Source organism: Homo sapiens, chromosome 8 (genome assembly GCF_000001405.40).
Source record: "Homo sapiens chromosome 8, GRCh38.p14 Primary Assembly".
Classification (NCBI taxonomy): Eukaryota; Metazoa; Chordata; class Mammalia; order Primates; family Hominidae; genus Homo; species Homo sapiens.
The window spans coordinates 63,167,090-63,182,902 of NC_000008.11; the positions used below are offsets into that span (position 1 = coordinate 63,167,090).

At 40.1% G+C, this 15,813-nt stretch overlaps 1 protein-coding gene and 1 long non-coding RNA gene across 11 annotated transcripts in view, besides 4 other annotated features; one reads left to right on the forward strand and one right to left on the reverse strand.

The window, feature by feature from the left end:
* Positions 636-1,353, reverse strand: YTHDF3-DT (YTHDF3 divergent transcript). The gene has a single exon (NR_102684.1). It is a non-coding gene; the product is annotated as a YTHDF3 divergent transcript (long non-coding RNA).
* Positions 1,075-1,294: an enhancer, noted in NCBI's record as "active region_27450". NCBI's record gives its function as "activates an Ori minimal core promoter by ATAC-STARR-seq in GM12878 lymphoblastoid cells {active_cell/tissue: GM12878}" and the evidence as "EXISTENCE:reporter gene assay evidence [ECO:0000049][PMID:35858748]".
* YTHDF3 (YTH N6-methyladenosine RNA binding protein F3) overlaps positions 1,464-15,813 on the forward strand; it is a 44,236-nt gene continuing 29,886 nt past the window's right edge. Inside the window, exons 1-4 of one of the 10 annotated variants that reach the window (NM_001277813.2) lie at positions 1,532-1,812; positions 2,298-2,322; positions 5,564-5,709; positions 8,242-8,327. In NM_001277813.2, coding sequence (NP_001264742.1) covers positions 5,652-5,709; positions 8,242-8,327 — 144 coding nt within the window. In that variant the 5' untranslated portion in view covers positions 1,532-1,812; positions 2,298-2,322; positions 5,564-5,651. Of the gene's footprint in view, positions 1,813-1,915; positions 2,023-2,297; positions 2,323-5,563; positions 5,710-6,561; positions 6,593-8,241; positions 8,328-15,813 lie in introns of those variants that run through there. The other 9 variants (NM_001277815.2, XM_011517509.4, NM_001277814.2 and 6 more) reach the window with 9 other exon arrangements.
* Positions 1,495-1,814: an enhancer, noted in NCBI's record as "active region_27451". NCBI's record gives its function as "activates an Ori minimal core promoter by ATAC-STARR-seq in GM12878 lymphoblastoid cells {active_cell/tissue: GM12878}" and the evidence as "EXISTENCE:reporter gene assay evidence [ECO:0000049][PMID:35858748]".
* Positions 1,895-2,134: a silencer, noted in NCBI's record as "silent region_19241". NCBI's record gives its function as "represses an Ori minimal core promoter by ATAC-STARR-seq in GM12878 lymphoblastoid cells {active_cell/tissue: GM12878}" and the evidence as "EXISTENCE:reporter gene assay evidence [ECO:0000049][PMID:35858748]".
* Positions 12,018-12,915: an enhancer, noted in NCBI's record as "NANOG-H3K27ac-H3K4me1 hESC enhancer chr8:64091666-64092563 (GRCh37/hg19 assembly coordinates)". NCBI's record gives its function as "activates a minimal SCP1, AML or CMV promoter by ChIP-STARR-seq in primed H9 embryonic stem cells {active_cell/tissue: H9 hESC(primed)}" and the evidence as "EXISTENCE:reporter gene assay evidence [ECO:0000049][PMID:30033119]".

Sequence of the window (15,813 nt, forward strand, 5' to 3'; positions counted from 1 at the left end):
CCTGTATATAGCCACAATTTGCTGAAAGCTTACTTTTGTGTCAGGAACTGTACACGAAGGACCTAATTTTACTCATGAGGAAGCTAAAGCTTAGAAAGTTTCAGTGCCTTTACCAAGATTATAACACTAATTCTTGCTCCACTAGAATTTAAATTCGAATTGATTGGGTTCCAAAGCCATGATACTAAGGATCAAAGACAAGGCTTGCAAGATTTAAGCCTCCTCTTGTATATTCTCTCTCAAGTTCCTGGCTCATAGCATGTACCAGCAAACTCATTAAAACTAAAACGGTCTGTTTGGGAGTGAAGGATGGGAGACATTGAGAGCAACAGCAGAAAGGGTTGGGGGAGTCTTGGGAAATGCAAGGGTGCTTAGGTTGGGACCCGTGGCAATGAATGGAAGGGCAAGGGAAACTGTCTAACCAGAACTTAAAAATGCCTCTTGGTGATTTACATGAAAAGTGGCCTCTCAAGTTTTTCTATTATTCAGTGCTTCTAAGATACTGTTGCACTGTAAACCACAAAATTAATCTTATGATTCTACAATTTTACTTTCTAAATGATCACTTATTTGATGGTTTTTGAAGTACAGAAAGTATTTGGTCATTTAAATTATTTCCTTCCATGGACTCTGTATCACTGAGACAAGGAATCTTTGCCTTTATTGTAGATATTTCAATGAAAATGTCAACACGTTGCAAATTGGCATACTTTGGGTTTGCCAATATGTGATAAAGAACTTTTTCAATGGAAACTTTCCCTCTTTTCAGGGCCGAAAAGACGCTCTGCAACTATACTTAAGTATCCTAGGCAACTTTATTCATTCAAAAACATCAGAGCGGAGTCAAAAGCACAAATCCATGAATTGGGCGGCGAAGTCTGACTCCAGAGATTACGGCTGAACTGGGTTTGGAAAGACTGAACCCGCGCCGGTGCTCCTCCTGTTTGCTTGGACTTAAGTTTGAGTACCACAACTCTAACCTGCCACTTCAGCTGCACGGGCAGGCTTGTGGGGACCCAGCAACTCCGTCCAGAGAGCGGCTGAGTCAGCCAGCCGTCCCCACGGCTTTGGGCAGCCGCCGAAGGCTCCTGCTAGGCCCGGCTGGCTCACCGGGAAGTTCCCTGCCTCCGTCCCGTCAGCCTCCAGGAGGGCGCCGCCGGCCGCCGTGACTTCAGCAAGGCACTACTATCTCCGTCAGCCGCCGCCTCGGCCATCTTCCTGCCCGGAGTGCAACAAAATCCGGCTCTGGCCAGCCTTCCAGCTGACGCCACTCTGCCAGGGCCCTGCAGCCTCGGAGCGGGATAGAAGGAAGCCGCAGAAAAGACGCTGAAAGTTGGCGCTCGCTGACGCCCCGACGCGCTCCCTCCATGACGCATGCGCCCACCGGCCGTGAGCGCGGGTCCGGTCTCCGGTGACGTGGCGGTGAGGAGGCGGAGCCAAGATCAGCGGCGGGAGGGTGGGGGAGGAAGAGCGAGGTGAGCGCGGACGTCAGAGTGGAGAGCGGAAGGTCAGGGAGGCTCGGAGCGGAAGTGAGACTAGGGAGTCTGTCCGCCATTGTGGACCCGAGAAGCAGAGAGCGAGAGGGGGAAGAGGAGCGTGCAAGCGGAAAAGACGGGCCTCTTCCTCCGACTCCCGAGCGCGAGGCCCTCATTTTGGGTTCTCAGCGAACGGCGGCAGCGGCGGCGGCTGGAACAATCACTCGGCCAAGGGCGACAGCCAACTGCTGTGAGTGCACGGGGAGAGGCCCAGGCAGCGGCGGCGGCGGCGGCTCTCGGGTTGCGGTGAAGAATGTCAGCCACTAGCGTGGATCAGGTGAGGGAGCAGAGGCCCCAGGCTTGGCGAAGGCCCGAGCCCCGGAGCTCCACCCTCGCGCGGGGCTTCGGCTCCTCCCCGTCGCCGCCGCTGCCGGCCCCATAACGGTGCCCCGGGCGCAAGTTGCTGCGGTGTAGCTACCCGGGCCGGGGCGTGCGCCCTGGCCCCGTAGCTTGCGGGCGGGCGGGCGCGGTGCCGCGGCGGGTGGGGGCAAGGACCGGTCTTAGGGGCCTTAGGACAGATCCTGAGGGCGGCAGACATGGGGCGGAGACCGGGCGAGCTCTGGGAGACGGATTCCGAGTGGCGGGTGGGAGGTTTAAAGGCTGGGGGTGGTTGGGAAATTGGTGGCTGTGGAGGATATGGTGGGTTTTTACTCCTACGCGGATAGTCTAAAATAACTTGTCTTTGATAATGCCTTTGATTAACACACTTTTTCTTTTCTTCCTTTTTCTCCTCTTTACCGCATCTTTCGTCTTGCAACACAGAGACCTAAAGGGCAAGGAAATAAAGGTGAGTTTGGATTTTTTTTTTTCTTATTGCTCAATGTTGCCTTAATGTTACTTTTAAACTCTGTGAGGGTATTTTGTTTGTTTTTGCTCCCTCTTGGGAAAAAATGTAGGATTAGGGAAAATATTCATCATGGCTAAGGTAGCCAAGTTCTATCCAGAACTTCGGTAGTTCGTTGCTTTGAAGCCACTTTATAGAAACCAAAGTAGTACGAGAAACAGTTTCCTTGTCAGTTAAGCAGGTATTGGTGTGAACCTGGTGGTATTTCTTTGGTTTTCCAGTTTTTCTGTGTTATGTAACTTATGCCACAAAAAATTTCTACATGTGTATATAGACAAGTATATTCTTAAAGTGGACATTTTGTTTGACATGTCTGGATTACACTGGAAAATGGAAGTCTACATAGTATTCCATCACATTAATGAAAATTGTACTGTTAATCACTGATTCTATTGAAGTCAGTTGTAATGAGGCAACAACATGAGAGAGGTTAGAACTGAGTAGGCATGCCATCTTGCTCTATTGTTCTGATTGCAAGGTGTGACTCTATCTGGTATTTTATAAAGGGCTGAGAAGAAAATAGTTTGTGACATTTTTTCCAGGATTTTATAATTTTCTCTTTAGTAAAAGTACCATTGAAAGTAAAGTGTTTTTTTAAAAAGTGTGTTTTGTATTAATATGGAACAGTGCAGTCAGCTGACTGAAACATTATGACATTAGTCATGTGACATTTAGTTAAGTATAGAACAATAACTGCTTTCTTGGGATAGTGCCAATTAAATAACATCAGAGCAAATTATATATAACATTTTGTAGTGCTTGAAATTACACTAAAATTATGCTTTCTGTTGATTTCAGTAACACAGTGTTAGAAATTAAGATCTATAATAGCCTTTTAGATATAGATTGTCTTTGGTGCCCTTTAAATTCTTGTTAGGGTATTTATTTGCTATTGCAAATTTGGTGAATTTAATAGGTTTTGGATATGTAGATTAGTTTCCTCTGAATTATGGAATTTGTACATACCAGTTACATGGCACCATATTAGGTAACATTTTGTTTGTTTTCATTAAAGATGTTTTCTTGCAGTATGTAAATATTTAGACATTTTAATTTTTAAAATTTCATTTCTAGAATTTTTTTTGTTGTAAGCATAAACCTGAAATAAAAATTGGATATTGATTTATTTTAAATGAGTTTTTAAAAATTTGTGAATTTTAAAAAGAATGATCCATTAATTTCTTCTTTTGCTAGTCTACCCATTAGGAACTATGTAGACTTGGAGATTGTGAAATTGTGGTCATTATTGCCTAGCATAAATTATTTTATCCTAGATCTGTGGGGAGGTGGCACTTTGCAAAGCTATTTGAAATGCTAAGTGTTTTATGTTACCCGCTTTAAGGTAAGTACACAAGTTCTATGAGGTACTTGTTTGTTAAAACAAAATAGAGCCTCTACAGCACTGTAAGTCAGTAAAATAAGTTTGATTTATGAGTGGTCATTTCACTTAGGTAGGCACTGGTGGCATCTTTGATATTAGATATGAGTTGAGTTATCTATAAACTGCATAATACATCCACTGTTTGCAAATAAGTATTTTTTGGTTATTTCAAAAATTTTTATCCATCAGTATCGCTTCTGTTAGTTGTATTCAGACACATACACAAAGTGTTTATTTTGATAGTTCTTTATTCTCAAGAAATTTTCTTTCTTTCCCCCTTGTTGTTCAGTTTAATAATTTCATCTAAGGTTAGAATAATGGATTGGGATTCCTTGGAGTCCTGAGTTCTAATACTGCCTTTGGCTACTGACTTGCCAAGTGAGCTTGAAAACATTTTACCTGTCTGTCAGAATCTCCCCTCTATAAAATAAAAATAACTCTAGTCATAATTCCCATAATTCCTATAGTATGTTGTTAGGATTCTTGTAATTACAGTAGTTCACTGCTCTAGTAGCAATTATATTTGCTGGATTTCTTTTCACTTTCCTCACTTAATCTATTTTTAAGGTGCAGGAAGACTCCTTTGCATGGAGCCTTGGCAGGAGGGGAAAAATGCTACTGGCCTGAAAGTATTGCTAATTATTTAAGTTTCTTAAAAATGGCAGATGCTACAAGTGCACAAATAACAAATATACGTTACTTGTATTTTTATGACTGCAGGGAGAATTACAAGGCAAAGGCAACACTACCAGTGAACCTGATATAAGTAGCTATGTGTGTATTTGAGAAAAGCTTTTCTGCCTTAGCTTGTTCCCAGCTCGTAAAATTGTTTTACAATTCTGTTTACTTTCATGAAGTTATTTTTCTTGAACTGCAACCTCAGTATTCTAAATATGAGTAATCTTGAATTCTGAACTTAGCAAGCTTATGAAAAATAGTATGTCCTTGAGAAGTTGGTGTCAGTTAAAGTTTTGAACACGTAATCCTTTTCAGTCAACTTACTATAATTTCAGAGATCCTGTTTCTTTTCTGAATTGTCTTTAGTTGACAGCTTTAGCCTAACACCTAGTTTTAGTGTCTTTGATTTTCTATATATCCTTAATTACTTAATTCATTACAGAAGCCAAAAGGAATTCTAAATAATTGTCTTTGATATGGCAAAAATGTTTTTTGTAGAATAAGTAATAATTCAAGGTTTACTTGTTTTATAAGTTTGAATTCTTTTTTAATTAAGTCTGTCCCTGTGTTAAATATCAGAACTCTTTATTATCCTTGGCAAGAGTAGTACCAAAGGATAGTAGAAATTTAAGGATAATTATTTGCCTATTGGTTCATAATTTAACACTTCGTATTTTATTTTTTTATTAAGTAGAATTTTTGCTTATTGGAATAAAGGTGTGCAGTACTTTTATTTGGGAGTACTATGGTTGGAAGTGTCAGATGCCATACTTACAGTCTTAGGCCTTACTGCCTCCTTTCTCCTCTAAGTTTATAAATAGCAAATTCATGGAACAGGATTTATCTTTTTCCTCCTCTCCGCTCTCTTCCAACGGAGAGACGTATGCATTGTTTTATACAACTGTAATTTAAAATAATTAGGTTAAATTTGGCTAAGTTTTAATTTTCGAAAAGTAGTGGAAAATGCCTTATATTTTGGCAATATTCTGTTGTATTCTCTCCTCGTCCTCCCGAGAAATGATTTCAAAGCACTTTACTATCATTATTTTAGGCTTCATTTTATCAATCCTCACAACATCCTTGTAAGGAGATAGCGGGTATATGGTATTGTCGCTGTTTTTGTAGGTGGGGAAACATGATGCACAGATCTGTTGACTTTCCTAACTTGATGTAGTCAGGACCAGAGCAAAGAATCACCTGGCTCCTAAGGCCCATGTTCTATCTTGATTTGACTCTGTTTCATAGAGCAGAGGAAACAGGCGAAGAATCATGTAAGTCATCTGTTCTTTTTACCCCTGAAGAAATTTTACAGACTATGGAACTAGCTTGGATTTCATTTCTATTTAATGGTTTTCAGACTCCAAGACATTAGCTTGTCATTAAGTAAATATTCAAAAACGAAAGTCTTTAAGATAGTTTTCTTTAAGATACACTTCCAAAACTTAAGGGCTAGTTTAATGCAAATTGCTTCTCGGTATATGTGAAGTACTTTTAATTAAACATTTTTTAAAGTAGATTGACTTTTTGTACTATATTTTAAGACTTTATAGACATTTATGCATCATTTAAAAATGACCGTAGACTGTATTTATAATAGTATATGGGTTGTTCTCAGGCCTAGCCTCTTAGAAGAGAAATAATAGAACAAAAAAAATAAGAATAACAGGATTATATTTATATATATATACAGATAAATTTTAAGTAAGTACTTTTTCCTTTTTTTTTTTTTAAATAGAGGCAGAGTCTCACTCTGTACCCCAGGCTGGAGTGCAGTGGCATAATCATAGCTCAGTGTAACCTGGAATGCCTTGGCTCAAGTGATCCTCCTTAGACTCCTGAGTAACTAGGACTATAGGCACATGCCACCACTCCTGGCTAATTTCTAAACATTTTTCGTAAAGGTGGGATCTTGCTGTGTTGCCCAGGCTGGTCTTGAGCTCCTGGCCTGGCACTTTTTGTATTTGTATGAACTAGATTTTCGAGAACCTAGTGGATATGAGAGATAGTTAGTCATAATTTTTAAGTTGTTAGCTGTTTCAAATACTGACTAACATGTATGAGTGTAATAGTGAAGAATTTTTTTTCAAGAAGTAATAGACCATGCATACTTACCTTTGATTTAGGAGCAGTAAAGCCAGTGTCAGAGGAGAACAGGTATGTCAGAATCTCTTGGACTGAAATGAATAACCCAGCCTTATAATGGCACTAGAAGTAACCTAAGGCACCCTCTTTATTTTGGTTTCTAGTGGCTATTACATATTTAAATTCCATGGAGCATATTTAGCTCAATCCTAGTTCTGATGCAGTCCTTATCAGACATAGTTAAATTATGTTAGTGGAGCCAGGATCAAGTTGACCTTCAGGTTGCTTCTTGTGGCCTCTGAGGGGCAGTGTGGTGTAGTAAGAAGTCTACTTTGAATGCTTTACACAGTAACATCATATCTTTGATCTTTGCCACTCATTGGATGGCAAAGATTTAAGGGATTTTGTATATCTTTGCTCCCAAGCCACTGTTAACTCATAATATTACATTTTAGGTGCTCTACACTCATGGGAAAATTTAAGGATAATAAAAATGTTATATTACAGAGGAATACGCAATTTAAACCCGTCACCCTCCTAACTTCATAAAATTTGGTGATGTTGTACCTTTGAGCAGTAAATCTTTAGATACTGAGTTCTTTTTGTTTCTAATTTGTAGACATCCATCGGAAACTTTCAACTTTATCTTCACTAGTATAGAATAGTATATTTACATAGTGCCACCTCATCAAGTATTAGCTTAGTAACACTTCTGTTTAAATGGTTCTAAAGTCATATTAGTCCTATTTGGATCTTGTAATATTTAATGTGATTACATTTAAGATTATTGAACACTGTCATTTAATAATCAGATGAGATGAGGTAGGTACTATTCATACATAACCTTCTGAAACAGCGAACAGTCAAAGGTTAGAGAGTTTAAATCCCTAACTGGAGATCATCTCCTCAGTGCTGGACTTGAGATTCAAATTCGGGACCTTACTTCTGAGTCTGCTCAAAAGCACTCTGAAACAGCATCCAGAGAATAACAACTTTAGAGTGTTTATGGAGATGACCTTTGAACAAAATTATTCTCTGACTTGTTTCTCATGTATTGCAAGGATAATTATGGCTATCTTTTGTGTCTTAATTTTGTTTGTAGTTTCATGTGAAAGTCTTCATTCTGGGGGGCTTAGAATTAAAGCCCTCTTTATTTAGATATTTCATAATTATAAGTCTATTCATTGTGATATTGTTTCAAGTTAATTTTAGCCTAAACTTTACTGGAGACATTTAAGACATTTACTATAACAAATTAGATCGAAAATAGTTATTTCATTCTTTATTATACTAAATAATTTAGAGATTTAAACAAAGGTAGAGAACATTCAGAAATCTTTTTTATTGCCTACAACGCTACTTGAAATAGTTATTTTACATTCAAATATAGCATTAGGGAACTCTTTCCAACATTCTTATGTAACAATTTACTCACTACAGTGTTGAGATTGGGATATTTACTTAAAGTTTTTGGTAAGGGGAAGTGTATATATGGCTTGTGTTTATGTAATCTTGGGCTTATGTATCAAAAGACTTTTAAGTTTTTGTGGCACATGAATATTTGTATCTAAAATAGTTTATCCTTAAGAGGGTTCTTAAAAATAACTCAGTATTATTTTTTCTGATTACTTTTTTTGGCTTGAAAAATATTAAAAACATTAGGTTGTGCTGCGAGTTTCATAAAGATAACTACAACACTTCTAATACAAACATTTTTTTAGTTTCAGTACAAAACGGTTCGATTCATCAAAAAGATGCTGTAAATGATGATGATTTTGAGCCATACTTAAGTAGCCAGACAAATCAGGTAAGTCTTCTGACAGTTTCAGATTTTAGGAAATTAACCTTTTATTAGTATTAGTTGATTTTTCAAATAGATTATTTAATGAGATTAACCATAACATGGATTCATTCATCTAGTGTACCTATATAGTAAGTGAGTAGTGAGTAGCAGTTGCAGATTTATGGCACAGGAGAGTTCTTCTTCAGAAAGTATAGGCACCAGAAACTAGGTTATGAAATATAGAATAAAGATTTGAAGGTGACCATTATTTGTATATATTATGGTTAGGTTTTTTGTGTGTGTGTATTGAAGGAACTTAATCTTTTAATGTCACTGCTATATCTTCATAGCTTAAGCTAATTATAAAAGGCTTAATTAGCTAGAAATTTGGGTATTTGGAGGAGGGATTAGTTACCTGAAATTGCCTGCAATTTTGGGTCAAATGTAGTGTTTTCTTTTTTTAAGACATTGCAGATTGAATTCATTGATAACTATTGAAAATTTTAACATACCTTGGTAATGTCGGTGATAGAATTAAGGAGTTTATAAACATACTTGCTTTATAAACACAGTTACTTCTGTATTGTAGACATGGACAGTTTTATCAAATCAAGTAATTGGTAACTGGTGGCTTTGAGTATTTGTGTACAAGCGTAATTCCAATTTAAACATTGAAGAACAATGCTATTAGGTATCTGTATGCCATTTCTGCATCCATTTCTGTCTGTTACTAAAAATAAGCCACTGATAGAAATAAATGAAAAAATACATTTTCAGTATTCACCAGTTTTTTTAGAGAGAACATTGTGGAATGAAACTGTTTGTTTTGCTTTAAAAAAGCAAAAAATGCTCAAGAACTTTGGGTCTTAAAATTAGTTCTGTAGTTCTTATTTATTTATTTATTTTTGAGACGGAGTCTCGCTCTGTCGCCCAGGCTGGAGTGCAGTGGTGCGATCTCAGCTCACTGCAAGCTCTGCCTCCCGGGTTCACGCCATTCTCCTGCCTCAGCCCGGAGTAGCTGGGACTACAGGCGCCCGCCACCATGCCCGGGTAATTTTTTTGTATTTTTAGTAGAGACAGGGTTTCACCATGTTAGCCAGGATGGTCTCGATCTCCTGACCTCATGATCCGCCCGCCTCGGCCTCCCAAAGTGCTGGGATTACAGGTGTGAGCCACTGGGCCCAGCCCACCTCTGTAGTTCTTTGGAATAATTTTATGATTAATTTGATTAGAAACTCAGTTCTTTGGAATAATTTTATGATTAATTTGATTAGAAACTCAGTTTTTTTTTTTTCTTTAATTTTTGAGACAGTCTTGTTTTGTTGCCCAGGCTGGAGTGCAGTGGCGCAATCTTGGCTCACTCCAACCTCTGCCTCCCAGGCTCAAGTGATTCTTCTGCCTCAACCTCCTGAATAGCTGGGATTACAGGCACATGCCACCACGCCTGGCTACTTTTTGTATTTTTTAGTAGAGGTAGAGTTTCACCATGTTGGCCAGGCTGGTCTTGAACTCCTGACCTCAAGTAATCTGCCTGCCTCAGCCTCCCAAAGTGCTGGGATTACAAGCATGAGCCACCGTGCCCAGCCTAAAATTCAGATTTTAATTGGCACGTTAAAGATGCCAGTTAGTTTGTGTGTGTAAATTTGAAGAGTAAATTGGAAAACTGAATGAAGTTTGACTTGTCTGCTTGCATATATGGAGAAAATGAAAAACGTACTCTAAAATTTTAACCTAGATTTTTGAAACTCTGAAAGAACAAGGAACCAAATCTTACTACAGAACTGAACAGTTTGTACAGTAGAGTTATAGGGAAAATTTGAACAAAAAGTAGTTCCCAATTTGTGGGATGCAGGATTATTTTTAGGATTATGGAGAGTGGTGGTTGTGTTCAACCTCATCTACCTCTTGGTTACTTCCCCTTAACCACCCCTTCCTATCTACTGAGCAACATTCCTAGCATACATGGGAGGAGAAGAAATAAATGGGAAAGAAAAAAACTTTACGATCTCAGCAAAATTACTTTTCCACGTAAAGATTATGAAAGTAGATCATTTGTTGTGAAATGTAGTGCAAGTTTTAAAATAAGCGTGATTTTACTATATTCTGGCTCACATAGTAATCTCAGTTAACGCTTATGGCAGTATGGCAGTATTTTCCAACTTTGCTGAGAAATCTTAATATTAGGAGGTGTAATAAATATTCCTTCAAAAAGATGTCCATGTTTAGATAGATTTGAGAAATTTTGGAGGCTAAACAGTTGAACTGTTTTTTTTGCTACTTGATTTCATAGTTTATAAATTATAATTGAAAATGAAGTTCTTAAGATGAAGATATAGTATAAAAAATCCTGACTTGTTCAAACTCTTATTTTTTTTTTTTTTTTGAAACGGAGTCTCGCTCTGTTGCCTAGGCTGGAGTGCAGTGGCATAATCTTGGCTCACTGCAACCTCTGTCGCCCAGGTTCAAGAAATTTTCCTGCCTCAGCCTCCCAAGTAGCTGGGATTACAGACACATGCTACCACGCCTGGCTAATTTTTATATTTTTAGGAGAGGTGAGGTTTCACCATATTGGCAAGGCTGGTCTTGAACTCCTGACGTCAAGTGATCCACCTGCCTCGGCCTCCCAAAGTGCTGGGATTACAGGCATGGAACACCGCACTCAGCCATTCAAACTCTTTTTTAAGGAATTTTAGTGGACTGTAAAAGACAGTTTTGGAATTGCTACCTGAGTAATCTTCTTGCATGTTTTGCTTGATAACAGATATTTTACAATTCTTTATTATTTGTCACAAGGACATAGAAGGGTTTCTACTGGAGGAAAAATTTTTGTCAGGAGGATTTCTGGTATTCCATAGAGGCACCTTAGTGTCTTCCTAGGGAAAACCAGCGGAGGGTGCCTGAATCCCACCAGTGTAGCAACTAGCACTGTGGTTTGCGTTTTATCTGTTCTATATATTGGAATTGTGCATAAGACTTTACTTGTAAAAAAAAAAATAGTTTTAAAAAGTGTTTGGGAAACCATTACTTTTTAAAAGATGTAAAGGCATTTACCTTAGTGAACCCAAATGAATTTTTTCAGCTGCATCATTGCAGGTTATGTTGGAGCAAAACATTTGTAAAATAGATTTGTTTTAACTCATGATATTTGGAATCAACATATTTGTATCCTGTTTGAAGAGAAGTTGTAAAGTTTGATTCCAGTAAGGCCTGTTCTACCTCTCCTTTGTGGTACTAAATAGATTTTCAGCAGTCATCTTTCTTTAATATTAAAAATAATTATCTCTAACAAGATACATATTTACATTTTAAAGAGGATTAATACTGTAGAATGTTGAAAACTGGGTTTATTGAAAATTATCTGGAATCTTAAAGGTAAGTCGTATGAGAATTTAAGTACTCTCAATTATCTAGCTAGAAAATTAAATAAAATGTTTGGACCTTTTAAATAGTGCTATTATAACAGATTAGTGAAAACTGGATTTATTGATGAAAGATCTCAAGAAGATACTGGCAAATTTAGAGTTACACAACTATTTAATTAGGTCCTCATACACTGTACACAGTGTGTTTTAAAAATTAAATTCATTTATCTGATTTTAAAATTATAAATAAAAAATATTTTGATGGAAAAGTGTTTAACAAGTCTTTTGCTAATGATTTAAATTGCTTTGTATACTTAGATCTAGTTCATATCAAACCCAAGGGTACTTTAAAACAAGTTGTTGGCCTTTCTACTTATGTGGCAGCATATTTCTTCTATTTTGTAGTGTTCAGTTTCTGAAGGAATAATGTTCATAGTAATTTTGAAAGTAAATGTCAGTCCTTCATTTCTTTTTTTTTTTTTTATTGATCATTCTTGGGTGTTTCTCGCAGAGGGGGATTTGGCAGGGTCACAGGACAATAGTGCAGGGAAGGTCAGCAGATAAACAAGTGAACAAAGGTCTCTGGTTTTCCTAGGCAGAGGACCCTGCGGCCTTCCGCAGTGTTTGTGTCCCTGGGTGCTTGAGATTAGGGAGTGGTGATGACTCTTAAGGAGCATGCTGCCTTCAAGCATCTGTTTAACAAAGCACATCTTGCACCGCTCTTAATCCATTCAACCCTGAGTGGATACAGCACATGTTTCAGAGAGCACAGGGTTGGGGGTAAGGTCACAGATCAACAGGATCCCAAGGCAGAAGAATTTTTCTTAGTACAGAACAAAATGAAAAGTCTCCCATGTCTACCTCTTTCTACACAGACACGGCAACCATCCGATTTCTCAATCTTTTCCCCACCCCTCCCCCCTTTCTATTCCACAAAACCGCCATCGCCATCATGGCCCGTTCTCAATGAGCCGCTGGGTACACCTCCCAGATGGGGTGGTGGCCGGGCAGAGGGGCTCCTCACTTCCCAGTAGGGGCGGCCGGGCAGAGGTGCCCCTCACCTCCCGGACGGGGCGGCTGGCCGGGTGGGGGGCTGACCCTCCCACCTCCCCCCGGATGGGGCGGCCGGCCAGGCAGAGGGGCTCCTCACTTCCCAGTAGGGGCGGCCGGGCAGAGGCACCCCTCACCTCCCGGACGGGGCGGCTGGCCGGGCGGGGGGCTGATCCCCCCACCTCCCTCCCGGATGGGGCGGCTGGCCGGGCGGGGGGCTGATCCCCCCATCTCCCTCCCGGACGGGGCGGCTGGCTGGGCGGGGGGCTGACCCCCCCCACCTCCCTCCCGGACGAGGTGGCTGCTGGGCGGAGATGCTCCTCACTTCTCAAATGGGGTGGCTGCTGGGCGGAGGGGCTCCTCACTTCTCAGACGGGGCGGCTTCCGGGCGGAGGGGCGCCTCACTTCTCAGACGGGGCGGTTGCCAGGCAGAGGGTTTCCTCACTTCTCAGACGGGGCGGCCGGGCAGAGATGCTCCTCACATCCCGGACGGGGCGGCAGGGCAGAGGTGCTCCCCACATCTCAGACGATGGGCGGCTGGGCAGAGACGCTCCCCACATCTCAGACGATGGGCGGCTGGGCAGAGACGCTCCTCACTTCCCAGATGGGATGGCGGCCGGGAAGAGGCGCTCCTCACTTCCTAGATGAGATGGCGGCCGGGCAGAGACGCTCCTCACTTTCCAGACTGGGCAGCCAGGCAGAGGGGCTCCTCACATCCCAGACGATGGGCGGCCGGGCAGAGACGCTCCTCACTTCCCAGACGGGGTGGCGGCTGGGCAGAGGCTGCAATCTCGGCACTTTGGGAGGCCAAGGCAGGCTGCTGGGAGGTGGAGGTTGTAGCGAGCCGAGATCACGCCACTGCACTCCAGCCTGGGCACCATTGAGCACTGAGTGAACCAGACTCCGTCTGCAATCCTGGCACCTCGGGAGGCCGAGGCTGGCGGATCACTCGCGGTTAGGAGCTGGAGACCAGCCCGGCCAACACAGCGAAACCCCGTCTACACCAAAAAAATACGAAAACCAGTCAGGCGTGGCGGCAAGCGCCTGCAATCGCAGGCACTCGGCAGGCTGAGGCAGGAGAATCAGGCAGGGAGGTTGCAGTGAGCCGAGATGGCAGCAGTACCGTCCAGCTTCGGCTCGGCATCAGAGGGAGACCGTGGAAAGAGGGAGAGGGAGAGGGTCCTTCATTTCTTAAAATTAGTTCTTTATAGTTCTTCAGAATAATTTTATGACTAAATAGATTGGAAAATTTAGATTTTAATTGCCACTGTTAAATATGCCATGTAATTTGTGCATATAAATTTGAAGAATAATTTGGAAAAACTGAAGTTGAGTTTGTCTGCTTGTGTGTTTGGGAAAGTAAGTTCTTAGCTATCTTTATCAGAGAAGTACTATAGAGAATTAAATTGTCATTTTCTGCCCTTGTCATCACTGCCCTTAGTTAAGGTATTCATTAGTTTTGTCTATTGAAATGATTTTCTAACTAGTAATTCTATACTGCCACTCAGCAGTCTTAAAATCCCAAGTCTGATTGTGTCACTGTAATGTTAAGTAATTACTATAGCTTCTCAACAGTGGATGCATTTATTATATGAATGCCCTTAAAGTGGTTCCACTTCCTTTTCTAGCTCATCTTCTGCCAACTTTCTCCATCTGATTGGCAAAATAGAACTTACCATTATTTTATGAAAGTATAAATATTTTCTTAATATTTCTTTCACGATCTCAATTTTTGTATGTATGTTTTATACAGACGTGTACACACACCTATGGCATTTCCTACAGAAAGTCTTTTCTGATTTTCCAGTTACTTACTCCCTCTTCTTTGTACTTAAGTGTTTTGTTTTGCTTTCTTTGTAATTCATTTAGAGTAGCTATCACATTATAGGGTAAATAAGTCTTCCTCACGATACCTGTGAAGTGCTCCCAGTTGGAGACCACGTTCTTTATTTTTTGTCTCCAGTAACCAGCACAGTATCTGGCACATATAGCATTCATGTTTATTAAGTGAATGGATGGATTAGGTTATCTAATAGAATTAGAGAATGAAGAATTACGGTTGGTGAAATACTCAGGTTGAATATTATTATGACATTTTTCTTATGACATGATTAGATATGCATAAATTATACTTTTAGAAAATTATAATAGGAGAAAGTACATAGCATAATACAAGCATTAAAATTAGAATGAACATCACTTTTGGTTGTTAAATCGGAAGTCATGTCAGGAGTTTGAAGCACTTCAATTTTTGTGTGTGTGGTTTTTTTTAAATTTTTTTTTTAAGAGGGTTTTATTCTGTAGCCCATGCTGGAGTGCAGTAGTGTGATCATAGTTCACTGCAGCCTCGAACTCCTGGGCCCAAGCGATCCTCCCACCTCACCTCCCAAGTAGCTGAGTCTACAGGCGTGCACCACCATGCCTGGCTAATTTTTTTTTTTTTTTTTTTTTTTTTAATGAGATAGTCTCTTGTGCAGGCTGGTCTTGAACTCCTGGACTCAATTGATCCACCTTTTCCAGCCTCCTGAGTAGCTGGGATTACAAGCACAAGCCACCGTGCCTGGCTTTAAGCTAATAGCTTTTAAAAGAGTTGCTAAAAGAAAAAAACCCAAATAGGTGACAGAGGCTGAATGTGGCTTGATTTACTTGTTGGCCTCTTAGTTTGCTGACCCCTGAATTATACTATGGGTATAGACAAATTAAGAACTTGATGTGTAACTGTTGTGTAGAATTCAGCATTTGTCATAGTGAAATAAGAATATTCAATATAAATTTTGAGTTTAACTTTCTGAATGCTTTCTTATAAAGAATTAACATAAAAACTTCCTACTTTGTGTGCTTTTCCACTCCCACATCCAGATAAAGACTACTGAATCTGGATTTCATTGCCAACAATCAAAATTAAAACTTGGAAACCAGTTACCTTCATATTCAGCCCACCTTTCCTATGCATCTCCATGTGGGATTTATCTACTTCCCTGTATTACTTGTCTTATCCATTTAACTGTAGATTTTCTTTTAGAATGAGTATCTTATATCAATGTTTTTTTACAATGTATGCATTTGATAAGTGGTTGAAATAGTTAAAATTATAAATA